The 17,896-nt window shown below is 34.4% G+C and overlaps 1 protein-coding gene across 3 annotated transcripts in view, besides 1 other annotated feature; it reads left to right on the top strand.

Annotated features, from left to right (window-relative positions):
• Positions 1-17,896, top strand: part of LRP1B (LDL receptor related protein 1B) — a 1,899,594-nt gene that overhangs the window by 1,123,434 nt on the left and 758,264 nt on the right. For all 3 annotated transcript variants that reach the window (NM_018557.3, XM_017004341.2, XM_047444771.1), the window contains exons 15-16: positions 2,126-2,248; positions 13,448-13,588. In NM_018557.3, the coding sequence (NP_061027.2) occupies positions 2,126-2,248; positions 13,448-13,588 (264 nt within the window). The remainder of the gene's footprint in view (positions 1-2,125; positions 2,249-13,447; positions 13,589-17,896) is intronic.
• Positions 9,216-9,416: a silencer, noted in NCBI's record as "peak3885 fragment used in MPRA reporter construct". NCBI's record gives its function as "represses an SCP1 promoter by STARR-seq MPRAs in K562 erythroleukemia cells {active_cell/tissue: K562}" and the evidence as "EXISTENCE:reporter gene assay evidence [ECO:0000049][PMID:32103011]".

Genomic DNA, 17,896 nt, shown 5'->3' with positions numbered 1-17,896 from the left:
AGCATTGCATTTTTATTCCATGGCCATGGAATAAACATGACGTTATCTGGAAGCTGCTTAAAGCATTTATGCATTTCCTATTAAAAAAACCCTGTATTAGGCTTAATTACCCTCTGAATTCAGAAATTGATACTGTAGCATGCATTATTAGCTTTCTTGGCTTTCATATGTATTTTTTAATTTGTTATAAACATAGTGAATTAAATTTATTTTTCAAGATAATGAAATGATAATATACTTTAGGTCATTTGTTCTGATCTACGGGCACTCAATGATAACCTGTGGTAATGTGTTGAATATTTATTTGTATAGAGGAGCATTTTAGAGTTTTTTTCTTACTTCTTATTATCCTCCGTATAGCACATCCAACCTCTGAGCCTCAGTATAATAACCTAGTCTGTCACTTTAATCACGTTTCTGGTATTTGCACTTTAATCATTTTATTCTCTTATCGTATGGCTCTAAGTAATTAAAAGCTCTTTATTTTTAATGTTTCAGTAAAATATTCTGATATAAAAAATGTTATTTATTGATGCTTTCAACAAGCTGCAACATAGAGTAATATGACCCTACAATTACATTACCTATTGTATTGCTAGTGTTGAGTTCTTTTTAAAGTTTGACACATTTATAGATAAGTAGAGTCATACGTGGCATAGAGATGGTTCAGTCAATGATGGACTGCATGTATGGTGATGGTCCTATAAGGTAATAATAATGTATTTTTACTGTAACTTTTATATGTTTAGATACAGAAATGCTATTATCATTGTGTTATAATTGTTTACAGTATTCAGTACCGTAGCATGCTATGTACAGGTTTGTAGCCTAGAAGAAATATATGATATATAGGTATAAAATTTTTTAGCACTGTGTTTGAAAAGTGGTCACTTAAACATGTTTTAAAGAGGATATTTTTACAGAAAATATTTTTCTAGCTAAAATTTTTTAGCACCGTATAGTTTAGGTGCACAGCAGGCTCTACTATCTCGGTTTGTGTAAGGATGCTTTATGATGTTCGCACAATGATGTGATTACACATTTCTTAGTATGTATGCCCATCATTAAGTGATGCGCAAGTGTAAATACACTTTCTTCCTTTCCTTTCCAACCTGTAAGACTAATTGGCAATCTAAATTGTATTTATTCATACCGACACCTTTACAATTGTTAAAGGATACAACGTTACAGCTAGATAGGAGGAGTAAGTTCCAACGTTCTATACCACTGTGGGATGATTATAGTTAACGATGATATATAGTTTCAAATATCTGGAAGGTGGATATTGAATGTTCCCAACATAAAGAAATAATAAATGTTTGAGATTATGGATATGCCAATTACCCTGATCTGATTACTATACATTACGTTTACTGAAACATCACTATGACTATGAACAATTGTTACTTGTCGATTTAAAAATAATTACTCGATTTTATCTGAGAGTCTGCAAGGGTGCCTCACATACGTTCATGAATAATGTATGTTATTCATAAATTTCCTCTCATGCCTGCTTAATTTATGTCTGTTGTATACCTCGTTAGTGCCTCTGCTTTTTAGATCCACTGGGAGAACACTTTCGCCCTGGTGAACTGTACATTCACCTTATACCAGCAAGCCTGCTCATTTTTGGGTCTTCACAGATGTCCTATGATTCCTGGAGTCCTCAATACACTGCCTTTCCGGTGTATACTGCACAAGAGAAAAGAATACCCTACCCTTGCTCCCAACCCTCACTTGCTTTCTGTTCCCTGGGAATCCAAAGCCACATTCTGAGAGCCAGTGGTCTACTTTCCAAAGAACTCAGACTTGAATACAATAGGCCTAATCTGGAAAACTATCGAAGACAGATACCATTCTGTTCTTTCTCTTCTCTCACCTAGAACCTAACTTCACTCAGACCTCTATCTCCTCCAATTAATGAGAAAATTCTCCTTATCTACCAATGCACCACCTATTTTCAAACATTATTGAATTTAGTTATGATTCAACAGAAATCTTCACTATATTACTAAATATATAATATACATAGCATATATAAGTGTATGTAATTACATCTATGTTCACCTCCTAGAAAGAACGTGAATCAGAGTTCTCTGACACATTTGCTTTCTTCCTCTTGCAGGTGACAATATGTGCCGAGTAAATAATGGGGGCTGTAGTACACTTTGCTTGGCTATCCCAGGAGGCCGGGTGTGTGCTTGTGCCGATAATCAACTTTTGGATGAAAATGGGACAACTTGCACATGTAAGTTCTTTTCAAGTTACCCTTATTTGTTTATCGGGCTCTTTCTGAAGACTAGAAGCAGAAGAAACTAAAGGAATTAAAATGACACTTGGAAAGAGAAATTCAGATAATTATTTAGATATAATTCTTTTTAGACTATAAATTATTAACTGATTAATTTTGAATATATAGATGAATATTGACAATGATGGTGTTTCATGGAGTTCACTGCTATGGGTGATTTAGTAAAAAAATTAAATAAGTATATGCCACAGAAGCATAAGAGAACTTCACTATAAGCAGTGGCAACTAAAAATGCATTGTTGTTGATTAGATAGATGGTAAGTTGACGCACAACATAGGCCTACAATGACTTTAAATGGCTTCCTGACTCAGTTGTCTGTATTAAGTGGTGAAGAGCAAGGAGGGAGGGAAAAAGACTTGTAAAGAATTTACAGACTATCCAAATAGTGAATTAACTGGATTGATTGATCTGGATTAAAGGCAATTTTATTAACTTTTGCTGACATTTCTCAATTTACTGCATCTTATTATTCTGTTATGACTTTTGAAACTGATTCCTTCTACCCCATGTGGTGCCCCTTCAGCACAATAACACCAACAATGCTATCTATGTATTGAGAACTATATAACACTTTTAGAAAGGTTTAATCTTGAATTGTGTGTTAGAGTTCTTCAGAAAAACAGAACTAATAGGATGTATATAATACATAGAGAGAAGATTTATTATAAGGAATTGCCTTGTGTAATTATAAATTATAAAAACTGATGAGTCTTAAGATCTGCAGGTGGCAAGCTGGAAATCCATGAGAGTCCATGGTGTACATCTGGTCCAAATGTCAGCAGGCTTCAGACAGACCCAGGAAGTGCTGATGGTTCAGTTTATGTCCAAAGACAGGAAGAAACCAATGTCACAGTTCAAATAATCAGGCAGTTGACGTTTATTTTGCCTGTGACAGGTTCAGCCTTTTTGTTCCACTCTGGCCAACTGATTGGAGCAAGTTCATCTACACGACTGAGGGCAGTCTACTTCACTCACTTTACTAATTCAAATGTTAATCTCATCCACAGCACTCTAACAGATAGTCCTAGGATAATGTGTGACCAAACATCTGAGCACCCCATGTACCAGTCAAGTTGGCATATAAAATTAACCATCACAAATTGCTGAATAAACATTTCGTGTATTTATTTTATCACTTATAATGATTGTCTCTTGTGAGAGAGGAGGGATAAGTGTAATAAAAAGAACTTCAATTTATCAATAACATCTTATCTCTTCTGATGAAGAAAAGATGCATTTTTCAAAAGATATTTAAGATTTAAGACATATGAGAAAATACCTTAAACAGAAAAAATCCACTTACAATGCCACTATTCAGAAATAAACCGCTAAGAAATCTTAATAGAGTTTCTTATAATGATATATCATTGGCATTTATTTTTACTACCAGTGATAATAATTGTAGGTAAGATTGAGTGAATGCTTACACTGGTATGGATGTGGCATTTTGTAATACAGTTTGTGATTTGTATTAGTCTTTACAAAAACTGTGTAAGGAAGGTACTATTACTATCTGCATTAGTCCATTTTTACACTGCTGATAAAGACATACCCAAGACTGGCAATTTACAAAAGAAAGAGGTTTAATGGGCTTACATAGTTCAGGAGGCCTCACAAGCATGATGGAAGGCAGGGAGGAGCAAGTCACATCTTACATGGATGGTGGCAGGCAAGAGAAGAGAGCTTGTGCAGGGAAATCCCTGTTTTTAAAATAATCAGATCTCATGAGTCTTATTCATTATCATGAGAACAACATGAGAAAGACTTGTCCCCATAATTCAGTTACCTCCCACTGGATTCCTCCTATGACATGTGGGAATTGTGGGAGTTACAATTCAAGATTTGGGTGGGGACACAGCCAAACCGTATCACCATCTCATTTTACAATTTACAATTTAGACTTTTAAGCTAATTACTTTGCAAGTTCACATAATTAGTAAGTAGAACATTTGGAATTTAGACCCCAAATTCTGTCATTTTTACTTAATATGAGCATAAGCATCTTATCATGTAACCAAATATCTTTGTAAACATAATTTTTAATGACTGCCTTTCAAACCATTTATTTTCTTTTTAGTTGATATTTGGGATTATTTATGATGCATTGTTATAGGTAATTGTCTGTTTCTGTTACCATTTATGACCTTTTATGTGTTTTACCATGTAGTTTATGTCTATTAGACATAACAATTGGACATTGTTACATCTTCTTTAGGTATTTGGAATAATACCCTCAGTTTTAAATTATTTTATTATTATTTTAAGTTCCAACTACCGGACATGAGAACTTTGGTTTCTTTTCTACTACTTTTCTCATCTTCTTCAATTTCACTTATTATAAAATTAGCATATCTGACCAAGAATATGACTTTGAATTACCAAAAATAAGTCCTTTTTTAATAAAAATATGTTTGACATTTATATTTAGTTTGTTAATTTTACAATATTTTTAGGCCTAGATCACTGTTTCACTACTTGTATTGCTTAGTACTTAAACTTTTAGCACTCCATTGTTCATTTATTCATTTCACTGGTGTGTAGGATAGATGGAATATATCTTGAAATAACTTCTTCAAGAAGACTATGTAGAATACAGTGGACCCTCTGTACTGAACACTTACACTTTCTTTCTTGTAATTATTTCCTAAGCAATATAGTATGGAAACTATTTACATAGTATTTGCCTTGTATTAGGTATTATAAGTCATCTAGAAATGATTTAAAGTATATGAAAGGATATGTGTAGGTTATATGCAAATACTGCACTATTTTATATAAAGGATGTGAGTATCCATGGATTTTGGCATTTATAAGGGATCCTGGAATCAATCCCCCCTGGATATCGAGGGATGACTGTATATATTGCTGAGCTCCAAATATGCCTCCTGTACTTTTTTATGTAAACAGCATTTCTTCTGCATATTAATTCTTGGCTGAACAAAATCTCCCTTTAAAATTCTACAAATTTGTACCTATTCTATTCTGTAATTACATACTTCAGAACACAAATATGAATTTTACCTTTCTAGTAAGGTTTTTTTTTCTTTAGTAATGGAAATTTGTAAATTGCCAGTAAGTTGATTTCTGTGGAAGATAGTTCTCAGAGGTAAACTTTCTCTGAGTCACCAGGTGATTGTTTCCGTTTCTTTATTCTGTGGTATTATTTTTTAATTCTTATTTTATTGTTTATCATCAGAAATGAAAGAAACCTATCAAGATCCACAGTTTGCCAACAGGCAGGGATTAAGCATGACTTTGAACAACTTAAAGTCTGCCAAGTTGGCTGCTAGGCTGAATCTTATCTTAGTTACTGGGAGAAAAGATATGCTTTATGTGTACATTTGCTAGTTTAATTTTTCAGTTTCTACCAAGGAGTCTTTTAAAGTTGTTTTCCTGGCATAAAATGAAATTCCTGCTAGCCCAATTGAATGACTCTGACATTTTGAAAAGATGAAAAGTACATGCACATGCATATGCGTGCGCACGCACACGCACACACAGAGTAGCTTTCAGGGACTTCTGCCTGGTCTCATCATGCCTTTGCTCTACCCATAAACTTCCTCTTAAAGATGGGAGGTAGCACAAAAAGTGCTCTTATTTTGGTAGTTACAGACCTTATAGTCTGTGCCGCAGGAGCAAAGGATCTCCCTGCTTACCTAAAGATGGACAGGCTTTAACTATCGCAAGGACAGAAAACCAAGCACCACGTGTTCTCACTCATAGGTGGGAATTGAACAATGAGAACACTTGGACACAGGGTGGGGAACATCACACACTGGCGCCTGTTGTGAGGTGGGGGACGGAGGAGGGATAGCATTAGGAGATATACCTAATGTAAATAACAAGTTAACGGGTGCAGCACAGCAACATGGCACTTGTATACATATGTAACAAACCTGCACGTTGTGCACATGTACCCTAGAACTTAAAGTATAAAAACAAAAAAAAAAGATGGACAGCTTACAGGCTTATTCAATTTCCAGTGGCATAACTTAGAAGGACTTATGAATGAATTTTTAAATCTAGTTTTATTGGCCTTGCAAAAAGTGAAAATTCCCTTATGATAATGTCAACACAATGATCAAGAGGCCAAACTCTCAGAGATCTGATAAGTTTTTATGTTTGTTCTTTATCATTGTAGGAAGTTACAGGGGGAGGGGACTTGCATTCATCATGTACTAACATTTGAATAGTATTTTGAGGTTAAAATTTTCTACTTGGTTTTTTAATTTCGGTTATGTGGATCATAATTAGTGGATCATTGGCCTTCAAATTATATTTCCTATTTCTTTCATTCTTATGCTCCATTAAAAATGTATGGGTTGCTTTTAGGTGAACATATCTATATTGATATAGGAAAGATATTGACAGATTGATAAATAAATGAAAAAATCAACATTGTAGACTACAGGGAAAAGATGAGAGGAAAAACACTATCAATATGAAAGTGAGCTGGGATAAGCAGAAGTAAAAACAAAAAGAATTATCACTAAAAAAACTTAGGAAGTAAAATCCTACAAAGCCTTTATCATGACTTAAATGAATTGTTATATATATCAATTTCCTATTTCCATGTACATTCTGTGGCTCAAAAGAAAATGAAAGATGAGTTACGAATCAGTCCTCTGCGAGTTTAAAGCTTGCTCCTTTCGCCCACAGTGCAAGTGGAATGTAGGAAGAAAGGCTCACTGGGGTATACACTGACCCTTAACCTAGTCTGTAGTCCCTGAGGAGAGAAGCCTGTGGCATCTCCACCTGTACTTGTAATAGACACATCTAAAGCCCTCCTATACCATATTCTGGGTATCACCAAGTCAATGGCAGATGCTTCTCCTCACATCCACTTAAGAACCTGAGACTGAAAAATTGTCTTAATTGCTCACTTTTATACTTTACTGACTATTACACCTCATAGTTACATCGTACCTTTTGATCAAGCTTGTCCTTTATGTTTATTTTAACAAAGCTCACCTGTGTTTAAATATCATGGTGGGAGAGGACACACAGAGATATTTGCTTGGGTACTGTACTCTATTAGAAATGGCCCTGTCTGGCCAAGTGTGGTGGCTCACAGCTGTAATCCCAACACTTTGAGAGCCTGAAGTGGGAAGATTGCTTGAATCCAGGCGTTCAAGACCAGCTTGGGGAACATAGTGAGATCTTGTGTCTTGAAAAAAGAAAATAAAAAATGAGCCAGGCATGGTGGTGCACGCTTGTAGACCCAAGTACTCAGGAGGATGAGTCAGGGGCTCTCTTGAGCCTAGGAGGTTGAGGCTGCAGTGAAATGTGATTGTATGTGCCACTGCTCTCCAGCCTAGGTGACAGAGCAAGACCCCATCTCAAAAATAAATAAATACATAAGTAAATAGTCCTGTCACCTTCTCCAGATGCACGAATGGGTTTTCAGTATTGGTTTTCCTCAGCAGTGACTACCATTCCCTCCTTTTTTGTATCTCCAACCTTTCATCCTTACTCTGCCTTATGTAGTTTCTTCTTTGCCCTAATTGCCAAACCAAAAACAACAAAACATGTTCAGTAGTTTCTTGGAAGCCACAGATACAAATATCTTAATAGGAACTCTAGCTAAGCACACGCTTCAGTAGCACGTGAAATGATTCAGATTGATGCTTAACTATGGAAAAAAACAACAGAAAGAGAAGAGTATTTATTTCTAAATAACCCAGGCTATCACTGCATATCTCTGTGTAAATAAAATTTAAATGACTTTGGCTTGTAAGGAAATACTATATACAATGTTGTTTACCAAGCTGATGTTAGAAAATCTGTTATCATGGTGGTACACATGTGATTTTACACCTGGTGAAAGTAGAGAAATTTTTTTCTGAGACTGTTGGTCTCTTTCTAATATCTATAATTCATGCATGAGGTAACCCCAATGCAATAAAAGGGAAAAGAAAGAGGATTTTGTCTATACTCATTGCACTAGACAATGTTAAATCAACACAAATAAGTGCTTATTTGAGAATTTGTAGTTGCATTTGGCTGTTAAAAATTCTGCTATATCTTCTAATATAGCCTGCAACTTGCCTAGCTTCCTTTCAAATATATTAGGAAATATTAAGGGGAATAATATAGTAACTCATTTCATGCAAAGAAAGAACACAAAGTATGTTTATAGAAATTATTTCAGTTCCTTTTTATTTAATTGTAAAGGTTTTTCAAAGATATGTTAGCCTTAGTTTGCAGATGAAAAAAATAAACTGCAGACAACTACAAATGGAATTCATGGTTGCTGAGTAGAGTAGTGCATAGGAAATATCAGTATGCCACTAACCTCTCATTACTGTTGATTCTTCTGGATGTCTGATTTAGTTCAGTCTAGATTATAGTCATGTGAACTGGAATTAGCTGGATTAACTGTGCAATCTGAGTCAAACAAGCAAAACAAAGTTGCAGCCATTGTGACATGATCTTCCTGGTTTCAGCCATCCTTGTTAAATTGACATCAAATGAACAAAAATCCACTGGCAAATGTTCAAGCTGGGCTAAACACCAATGACTGTTTCTCAATGAACTTGCAACATAAGGCTATGCCAGCAAAGGCATGTACCCAGCAGAAAAATATTGACATGCTACATGATTGATTAAGGATGAATTCTAATGCCATGCTTGGAAGGAATCAAGAATGAGAGTAGGCTGGACTCTTTGTCTTTTTGAATCTTGTCCGTCATGGTCAAATCCTCTCACAACTAGAAATGATGTCAGTTGTAGCATAGTAACTTGGAACTTACTACCCCTGAGAAGCATGTGTAAAGCTAGGTGATCAATTACCAAGCAAACTTTATATTTCTCTCAACATGTTTGTGGGAAAAAAACACAATATAGAATATTAATAAATGAAGACATGAACAATCCCAAAAAGTAAGTTAGATTCCAAAGACAGTGAGTCACTATTAACAACAACTTCAAAAACTCCAGCAAGATTATTTTGTCTAAAGAAACAGTAATTCTTTTAATTCTTCTTTAGTGGCCTAAAAATAAGACAGAATTTTTCAATGTGCCTTACTCCCAGGAGAGCAACTTGAACATTGCAAAAACATTGGTTATCCAAGGGACAGCATTGCACAATTATGTGTCAATGGTACTCTGTGATCTTTATCACCTTCTGGAGCCCCAGATATATTCCTCTGTCAAGAAACAGGACTTCACTATGGTGAACCATTTATCTGCTTGGCTGTGACAAGCCTTATGTTCTAGGATATATGCAATCTAATGTGTAGTAAAAAGTTTAAGGCAGTAAAAAGTTTAGAAGCCCATCCAGATGAATATTTATGGCCCTCTGTGCATAGGAACTCACAGAAGATTATGTACCACTTAGGTTGGCTGCTCAGAAGACCACTTTATGTAATGAAAGGTCATCCTGCTATGATCTAAAGGAGAAAAATCAAAACCTATCGCAGCATTTTTCACACAGTCTTCCGGTATAGGCGAGCTTATATAAAGAGATCCAGCAAACCACAACTTCATGTTTTCTTTTTGGTTCTTTTCTCTCTCCCTGCTCAAATAAAGAGGCAATAAGAGAATCTGGATGCCCAAAATGAAGAAATAAACAAACAAATATTTCTCAATATTAGATAAGCAGAAATAATAGAAAGACATTTTATTTTATTTTTTTTGTTCCAGGACAAATGCTATTATGACTAAGTTATAATTCTGATGCAGTTGACAGCAAAGCATCAATTGAGGGAAAAATTAATTTAGAATAGATCACCACACTGGGTTTGAAAAGAGAAAAAGCAAAGTCAGAAACATCAGAACTTCTTCATGCACACCACAGGTTATTAAACTGAGGTCAGGAATATGTCTTGAGTCCAGAAGCTGAGCTGAGTTCCCAATCTGAGATAATTCAAACTAAAATAAATTAAAAAAAAAAAAGTTTATTAGCAGCATTTCCTACTTCCCAACATTATGACCTGGACATTAACTCCAGCCAGTTTTTGCCAAAGAAAAATAATTCTGGAATGCATATTTTCTTTTGTAGTGCCTTGGAGATTCATGCATAGGCCTTCTGATTTCATTGTTCTCACAGCAGGTACCACAGTATGTGTAAAAATTAATAGTTCCATGACAAGCATACCATGATTCATGTTATTTTACTTTTGATCCTGGTTAAATTATAGGATTATTTATTACTTTGTCAATTTTTTATTGGTGAGATCATACTGTAGAATTTTTGCTAGAAATGGTTCTGGCAGTAGAATTACAGGTTTTGTATCAGTTTTCAAATACATAGTTCAAAGCACAACTCTGAAGTAAAGTGTCCAATTCCATCACTTGTTAATATACTAAAAGCAATTTTTGGCTGTGCTCAAACACCCAAGTGCTATGTAGATTCAGTCACATTATGCACTGGAACAGAATAATATATATAGGTCTTTATATATTCACTCTTTTGAGTGTAGGTGGAACTTTGACTCTCTTCGTTCTGTCTACATATCCCTTTGTCTTTATCTTTTATCTTTTTGTCTTTGTCTTTTATCTTTTTGTCTTTTGCAACTTTATCCATGTCCTTGGGTGATCAAAGAAGAGAATTAGCTGCTTAGCCAGTTGAAAGGATGTGGTTTTCCTGAAGGATTTATACAGCCCCCACAAATAGAATCTCTCACTGCAATAATGCCAATCTCTGTTAATTCCAGTAACCAGTCAACAAATAATTTTGAGCATAAACTCTACACCCTATTCTGTTCTAGGTATTGTTCCTTTCTGTATGTGAAATTATTCTTTCTACATTCAAGAAGCTCCTCAAGTGGAGACACCATAATTTGTAAAAATTAATTATAAAACAAATGCTTTGTAGAGACCTTGTTTAATGCCGGGGAAAAGACCATGCATTTTGAACTTCTAAGCTGCTGTCTTATCTGGATTACGACTTGGCACATTAAATGTTTTCTTTATAATAGATATTGCTAGCTAGCCTATTATCATGAACCTAAAGAAAACTGATAGTCTGCATTGATAATGTGGTTTCTTTGTGATATAACTACTGATTACATCTGGAAGGCTTGGGCAGGGATAGAATTATTACAATTAATGATGCCTTACGCCTTGGGAGAATTTGGAAATCAGAGCTAAGAATAAAAAGAAAAATTCTTATGTCAAGAACAATGAAGAATCTAAGATTTTACCCTGATTGCAAGCTAGCATGTTAGCCTCAGATTCATGGATTCCGGTAGAAGACACACGATTCCTGGATTAGACACAAAGGATTTTATCCCTCATGCCACAGCAGGCCACATAACATTCATGTTTACGTTGGTTCTCCTTGACATGCCCCCCTCTACCCTTTTACAGTCCATGAAACACAAATTCTTTACTTTAACCCTTGATTGCCACATATTCTCTTCTCTTTCTAAACTATTTAATTCACTTAGATACAGGAGAATAGTAAGACCCAATTTGTGAATAAATCCCACTTAACCAAATTCCTAACATTTGTTTAGAGAACCTGGAACATGCAGAGAAAAAACACTGCATAGAATCCCAAAACATAAAAAGATAGTTTTGATTAACATAATCCTTCTAGAACCCTTAAGTAGGCCTGAGTTTTTCTCCTATTTGCAGAACAGCAAAGTGATTATAGCCATCAAAGCTGTGTGCTATTGCATTGTCTTTTTATTTTAATTCTCAGTGTACTTATTTATAAGATGGAGGTAGTAAAATTCTTTGCCATATATGCCTTATAGGTTATCATAATGATCAATTAAGACTATGAATAAAAGCTCTTTGAAAAGCAAAACTACACACCCAGCATAAATATAAAGTGGTATTGTGTTATTGTTGTTAATGTTGTTGTTACTTTGATCAGTGTTGTTTAAAATAAATCTTCGAAGTTCTTAGTTGTTAAAAGTCAAATCAAATACATCTTGCAAAGATACATCTCCCTACTTAAAATGTTTTATTTGGGAAGTAATAATTGCAGTTTGGGGCATACCCACAGACTAGATGATCTTCTGTATGGCCGAAAAACAAAGAGAAGGTTGGAAGTTTTCTAAAAAGCAGAAATGTTGCATGTTGTTTTGCAAGAAAGCTTATTGGCACCTTAAAGTTTTGGGGAGCTCACAAACTCTGATTGGTGAGTGACAGAAGTGAGTAAAACTAGTTTTAGAGCTGCAGCAGATTGTTTCAGTAGCTATTCAATAAAACTGGTTTCAGGTTAAAACAGGCAGTTCCAGCATCCAGGCTTGCAGAGAATTACATTCCTCCAGCATGATATGTGCCCTGAGTGCTTTTTCCCCTTCACTTCTCAGTAGTGTTTTAGTTGTATACAGCAAGAATAACCCAATTTACATGTCAACTTTCACCCAGTAGAATACTTGTTGCCAGAAAAATTGAAAATTTTCTTTTTCTCAAAGATGGCTGTCACCACAATGTTTTATAGTTTCAATTAAGTTAAATGAGACAACATTTTGTTATTGTAGCAAAATTTATTTCTGTGTATGTTTGATTATAGTAAACTTTATGAGTATCACATATTTTTGAATTTAAAGTATGTAAAATTTTAGGACATTATTTTTATTGTATGTATTTAAGGTGTACAACATAATGTTTTAATATACATAGTGAAATGGTTACTATAGTCTAATTAATATATCCATCATCTCTTATAGTCACTCTTTAGTGTATGTGGTAAGAACACCTGCAATCTACTCTCAGCAAATTTCCAATGCATATTTTAACACAATATTGTAACTATAGTCTTTGTATTGTATGTTGGATTTGTAGACTTATTCATCCTACCTATCTGCCACTTTGCGCTCTTTGACCTACATCTCCTCTTCTCCTCTCCATTACCACTTTATTCTCTATGTATTCGACTTAGAAATTGTGATACACACACACACACACACACACACACACACATCCTTACCTACCAACCTACATATATAATGGAATATTACTCGGCCTTTAGAAAAAGGAAATTCTGTCAATTGCAACAACTTGGATGAACCTGGATGACATTGTGCTCAGTAAAATAAGGTAGACAGAGAAGGACAAATACCTCATCCCACTGATATGTAGAATCTAAAACAAACAAAAAACTCTACAAGATTTAAATTTTAATGGACTGACTGTAGCTAGCATTATTCATATACCTTGGGTTTTTTTAACTCTAGTTAATCCTGGAGAAGCACTACCTCACATATGTAAAGCTGGAGAGTTTCGCTGCAAAAACAGACACTGTATCCAAGCTCGGTGGAAATGTGATGGCGACGATGACTGCCTAGACGGAAGCGATGAGGATTCAGTAAACTGCTGTATGTTCTCTTCCAAGTCACCTAAAAATTGTATTTTCCTGAGTCTTTGAGTGTGTGAATTATCAAGGCAGTTTGTGACAATCTGAAAATACCTTTGATGCAGATTGAACCTAGTTTAATTTTTCAGTCATCCTTTTGCATAAAGAGTAGACCATAGATTGCCTCCTTTGCATAGTTTCAAAGCAGTTTTTCTCATCCTTTTCCATCCTTCATATTATCATTTTAGTTGCTCTAAGAATTTCTCCTTTTACATTCCATGATATCAGCGCCACCATGCCACTGTCAGAGGTTGCTGTAGGGAAATTCTTTGGATTTTTGAATTTAAAGATGTGGAAAATCAATTTAAATTCCCTCAAGACAAAATTATTGGTACAGAAGGTCACGATCCACTCCACTGCTCTTTGGCAACAGAGCCTTGAAGAAGATCCAAGGAAACAGACATGGGTTTGGAACATGTTACTATATAGCTTCACTGTCTCAGGACATGGTAGAAAACACATATGGGCACTCAGAAATCAATGTTTGACTTTCCCCTCTTTGGCTTCTATTTAATTATTTATCATCTGCTGGGATAGGAATAGTTTCATGTTGCTAGTAGGCAAAATAAAATTTCTCACATATGTGTTAGGAAAACATTTGGGGAAGTACATTAAATAATGTTTTGAGAATATATTTGATTAGAGTCACTGGCTAAGTGATTTTGAGAGATATAAAATATTTTATATGAAAAGAAGGCATGTGTTGAACAAATTTATCCTTGATCTTTTTATCTGACCTAAGAACATTGTTTTTAATTTTTTTTCTTTCTATAAATGTCCTTTTTTAGGTCTGAACTAATGAGAGTTAATTGACAGTCCTTCATTTCCCTTTTTTAAAAATTAATATACAAATGAAGTTTTAAAGATCTTTTTTAAGAATGGGCAAAGTTAGTCTGGGCATCCATTTTATTCAAACATCGATGCTTCAGGACAAAAATCTCAAGAATATGAACTTTAAAAAATATTTTCAAATTGTATATTAATACATAACACATAAATTATAATAAATGCGTAAATATAGGACTGCATTTTCTCTTGATTTCCAAATTCAGGCCCTGACTTCAACATTATGTACTTCTTATTTTCAGACCCATTAATATCTGTCCTGCAAAGTTTGAACCCACAAAAAAAATTTAAATACTAAATTGCTATAATTAGTCAAGATTTTTGGAGAGGAACCTTTCGTCTGAGGGTAAAGGGTATTTTTGTCCTAATTTACATAAATGAGTATTATTTAGTGATTAATTGTCTCACTTCTTGACTCACAATCAGAACTGTTATTTATTTATTATTACTTTTAAGACTAATCAGTCAAGTGCAATAATTAAAAAGAAGGAAGGAGTAGAACAAGGAGTTTGATTTGTAACTAAGTGTGAAGAGTCAGTTGAGTTAACTCATTACCTTTGGGCCAGCCTATTTGTGGTTGTGATGAATGCTCCCTATATATCAGCTTCCTCTGTAGTCAACTTTAAATGCCTGAGCAGAGTGCAAATACTGCATCACAATATTCATGTATTGGTTCCTTAGGTCCACGTTTTCATCAGTGTGACTTGTATCTTCTAGCAAATTAACAAGAAAACTGACCTCCTCTATGGGTAGAAGAAGCATTGCATTTGTACTGCTAATTAGAATGTTAAAATTTCTAATCAGTCATTTTATCTTATTATCATCACTCTTCAATCCATCACCCAAGCCATGGTTTTTTTGTGTTTTTTTTCCCCTGGAGAACTCTTTTACTTATAGTCCACACTCAATTTTTTAAATAAATCCTATTTTTTCTACTTCCTAAATAATTAATTTTTTATGTTTACTTCCTGTCAATTTTCATTGGCTAAATTAGGCCTTCACCTTAGATTGACTCAGAAAATGGCTTTCTATTATGCCTGCCACTATTCCTCCCTTAACTTTAGCCCACTTTCCACACTATTTTCAGAGCGATATTTATAGAATAAAATCCATTCTTTTAATTTCAATAACTGCACAACCAACAAAATAAATTCTAAAATCTGTTGACTCACATATACAATACTTCCTGCTCTGTCTTGTATTTACATTTTTAGTCTTTAGTCTATTATGCATCCATTTACCCTTTTTATTTTTATCAACTTGAACTATAAATCTCCAAAACATGTCCTGTTTTTCTCCTCTGCAATACTGCACTGACTGTTTTCTGTCTAAGGAATTCAACATAGCTTACCATTACCTTCTTAGGAAAATCTTTTTTTGACTCTCAATACAGCCATTTGGAGTTAAACATTCATCTGCTGTACAATTCTTTATTACAGTAGTTGCCAAACCAAATTGAAATTATTTGCTTACTTATTTGGTACATCTAATAGATTAATATTTTCATGAGAAGACACCTTATGTTGTAGTGTTACGTAGTCTCTCGGTCTAGCACAGTGCCTGGCACATGGATGAGTGGGTGATTAGATAAGTGAGGCAATAAGCAGTTACACACCTCTGACCACCTTCCAGCACTATGTCATCTTCCCTAAGCATTGCAGTGATTCTGAGCAACATTTTATTTCTGAGATCTCATGGTTAATATTCTAATACTACATAGGTAATTTCAGAGGATTATTTTAAATATTAAACACCCATAATCTGCAACCTTGAATTTTGTTATTCTACTTTCTATTCCTTCAGTGTTTTGGCTCCATACCAAAAGGTGTTTGAATTCCTGTTTATTACTTTATTGTTGAAAATTGCAAAAGTCCTTGATTAAGCCTCACTGAAGTGCATATGTATAATATTGGTACTTTAAATTGTTGGCTCTCTAATACATCAGATGACTTATATTTCTCTCGGCATTTATTCTTGCTAAAGTCCCTGAAGTGAGTAGAAAATGTAAATCATGCTCAAATACCAGAGAATATAAAGCTTTTCTCCCTATTTTTTTGTTTTGTTTTGTTTTTTTACTATACATCAATAAAAACTTTCTAAAAAGTGATAAAACCACGTATCAACAAAGCTACTTTAAAGAAAAACTGTTTTATAGAAACTAACTGGAAATGCACGCATTTGCTACTCAACAAGCATGATAAAACAACAATTTTTCAAATTCTCAGTAAAACAAATATAAACATTTGTTTTTATCATACGAAGTGTAACTACTGGGCATAAAGAAAATTACCCTTAAAAACAGCGTTGAAATTGTGAAACACATATTGAAGAGCATGCCAATTCAGTTAGGAATTTAGCCTCTGGAATGGAGGAAAAATAATCATAGAAGGTTAACATTAAGATGGCCCTCCTGTTGTGCTTGGATATTGGAAGTTTAATCCTTAGCTGTGCACAGCTTCCCAGATGAGGATTGGTCACCTCCTAAGTATTTTCTGTGGTTGCATGTTTGTTTGTACTAGGGAAGAAAACTCATGATGATTTTTTTTTTTTAAGTAATACAGAATCTCATAGTTAACATCAACTCTAGGTCACAAGTGATGCATTTTTCTTTTCTGTGTTTTCATTTTCTTTTCTGTGTTCCTCCTTCCATTCCCAAGAAACACTGGACAGAGAGTAATAAAAGTAGGCTTAGTTAATATGTTAAGAAATATTTGAATGTTTATGTGGTTTAAAAAATATTTTTAATATATATGACTAAATTATTTTCAATACATACTTGTTATGTTTAACATTAAGATTTGAGGTTAATTTTAAATGTTCTTGGTAAAAAATTTTTAAGTGAAGTCTCCAGTTGGTTTAAGGAATGAGAAAACAAACTTAGTGATACAGTTGGTTTTATTTATTTATTTTTTTTGAGATGGAGTTTCGCTTTTGTTGTCCACAGCGATCAATCTCAGCTCACTGCAACCTCCGCCTCTTGGGTTCAAGCGATTCTCCTGCCTCAGCCTCCCAAGTAGCTGGGATTACAGGCATGCGCCACCATGCCTGGCTAATTTTTTGTATTTTTAGTAGAAACAGGGTTTCACCAAGTTGGCCAGACTGGTCTCAAACTCCTGACCCCAGGTGATCCACCCACCTCAGCCTCCCAAAATGCTGGGATTACAGGCGTGAGCCACCACGCCTGGCCATACAGTTGGTTTTAATGGAGACATAAAAAAAGAATACATTTCCTTTTATTTAAGATGTAATTACTTGATGTTTTTTATAAAAGCATTACATTTTAACAAAGTGAATATTAGTATTTGCTATTAAATATAAGGCAATGAATGACAGACTCTATGACATTTATTGTACTATAATATTATTACTGTAACTTTTCTGTAACTATCATTCAAAATATTCACAACTTTATCCAATTTTAAAT

The sequence above is a fragment of the Homo sapiens genome, chromosome 2 (assembly GCF_000001405.40).
Source record: "Homo sapiens chromosome 2, GRCh38.p14 Primary Assembly".
Taxonomy (NCBI): domain Eukaryota; kingdom Metazoa; phylum Chordata; class Mammalia; order Primates; family Hominidae; genus Homo; species Homo sapiens.
This window is presented reverse-complemented; position numbering and strand designations above follow the sequence as displayed.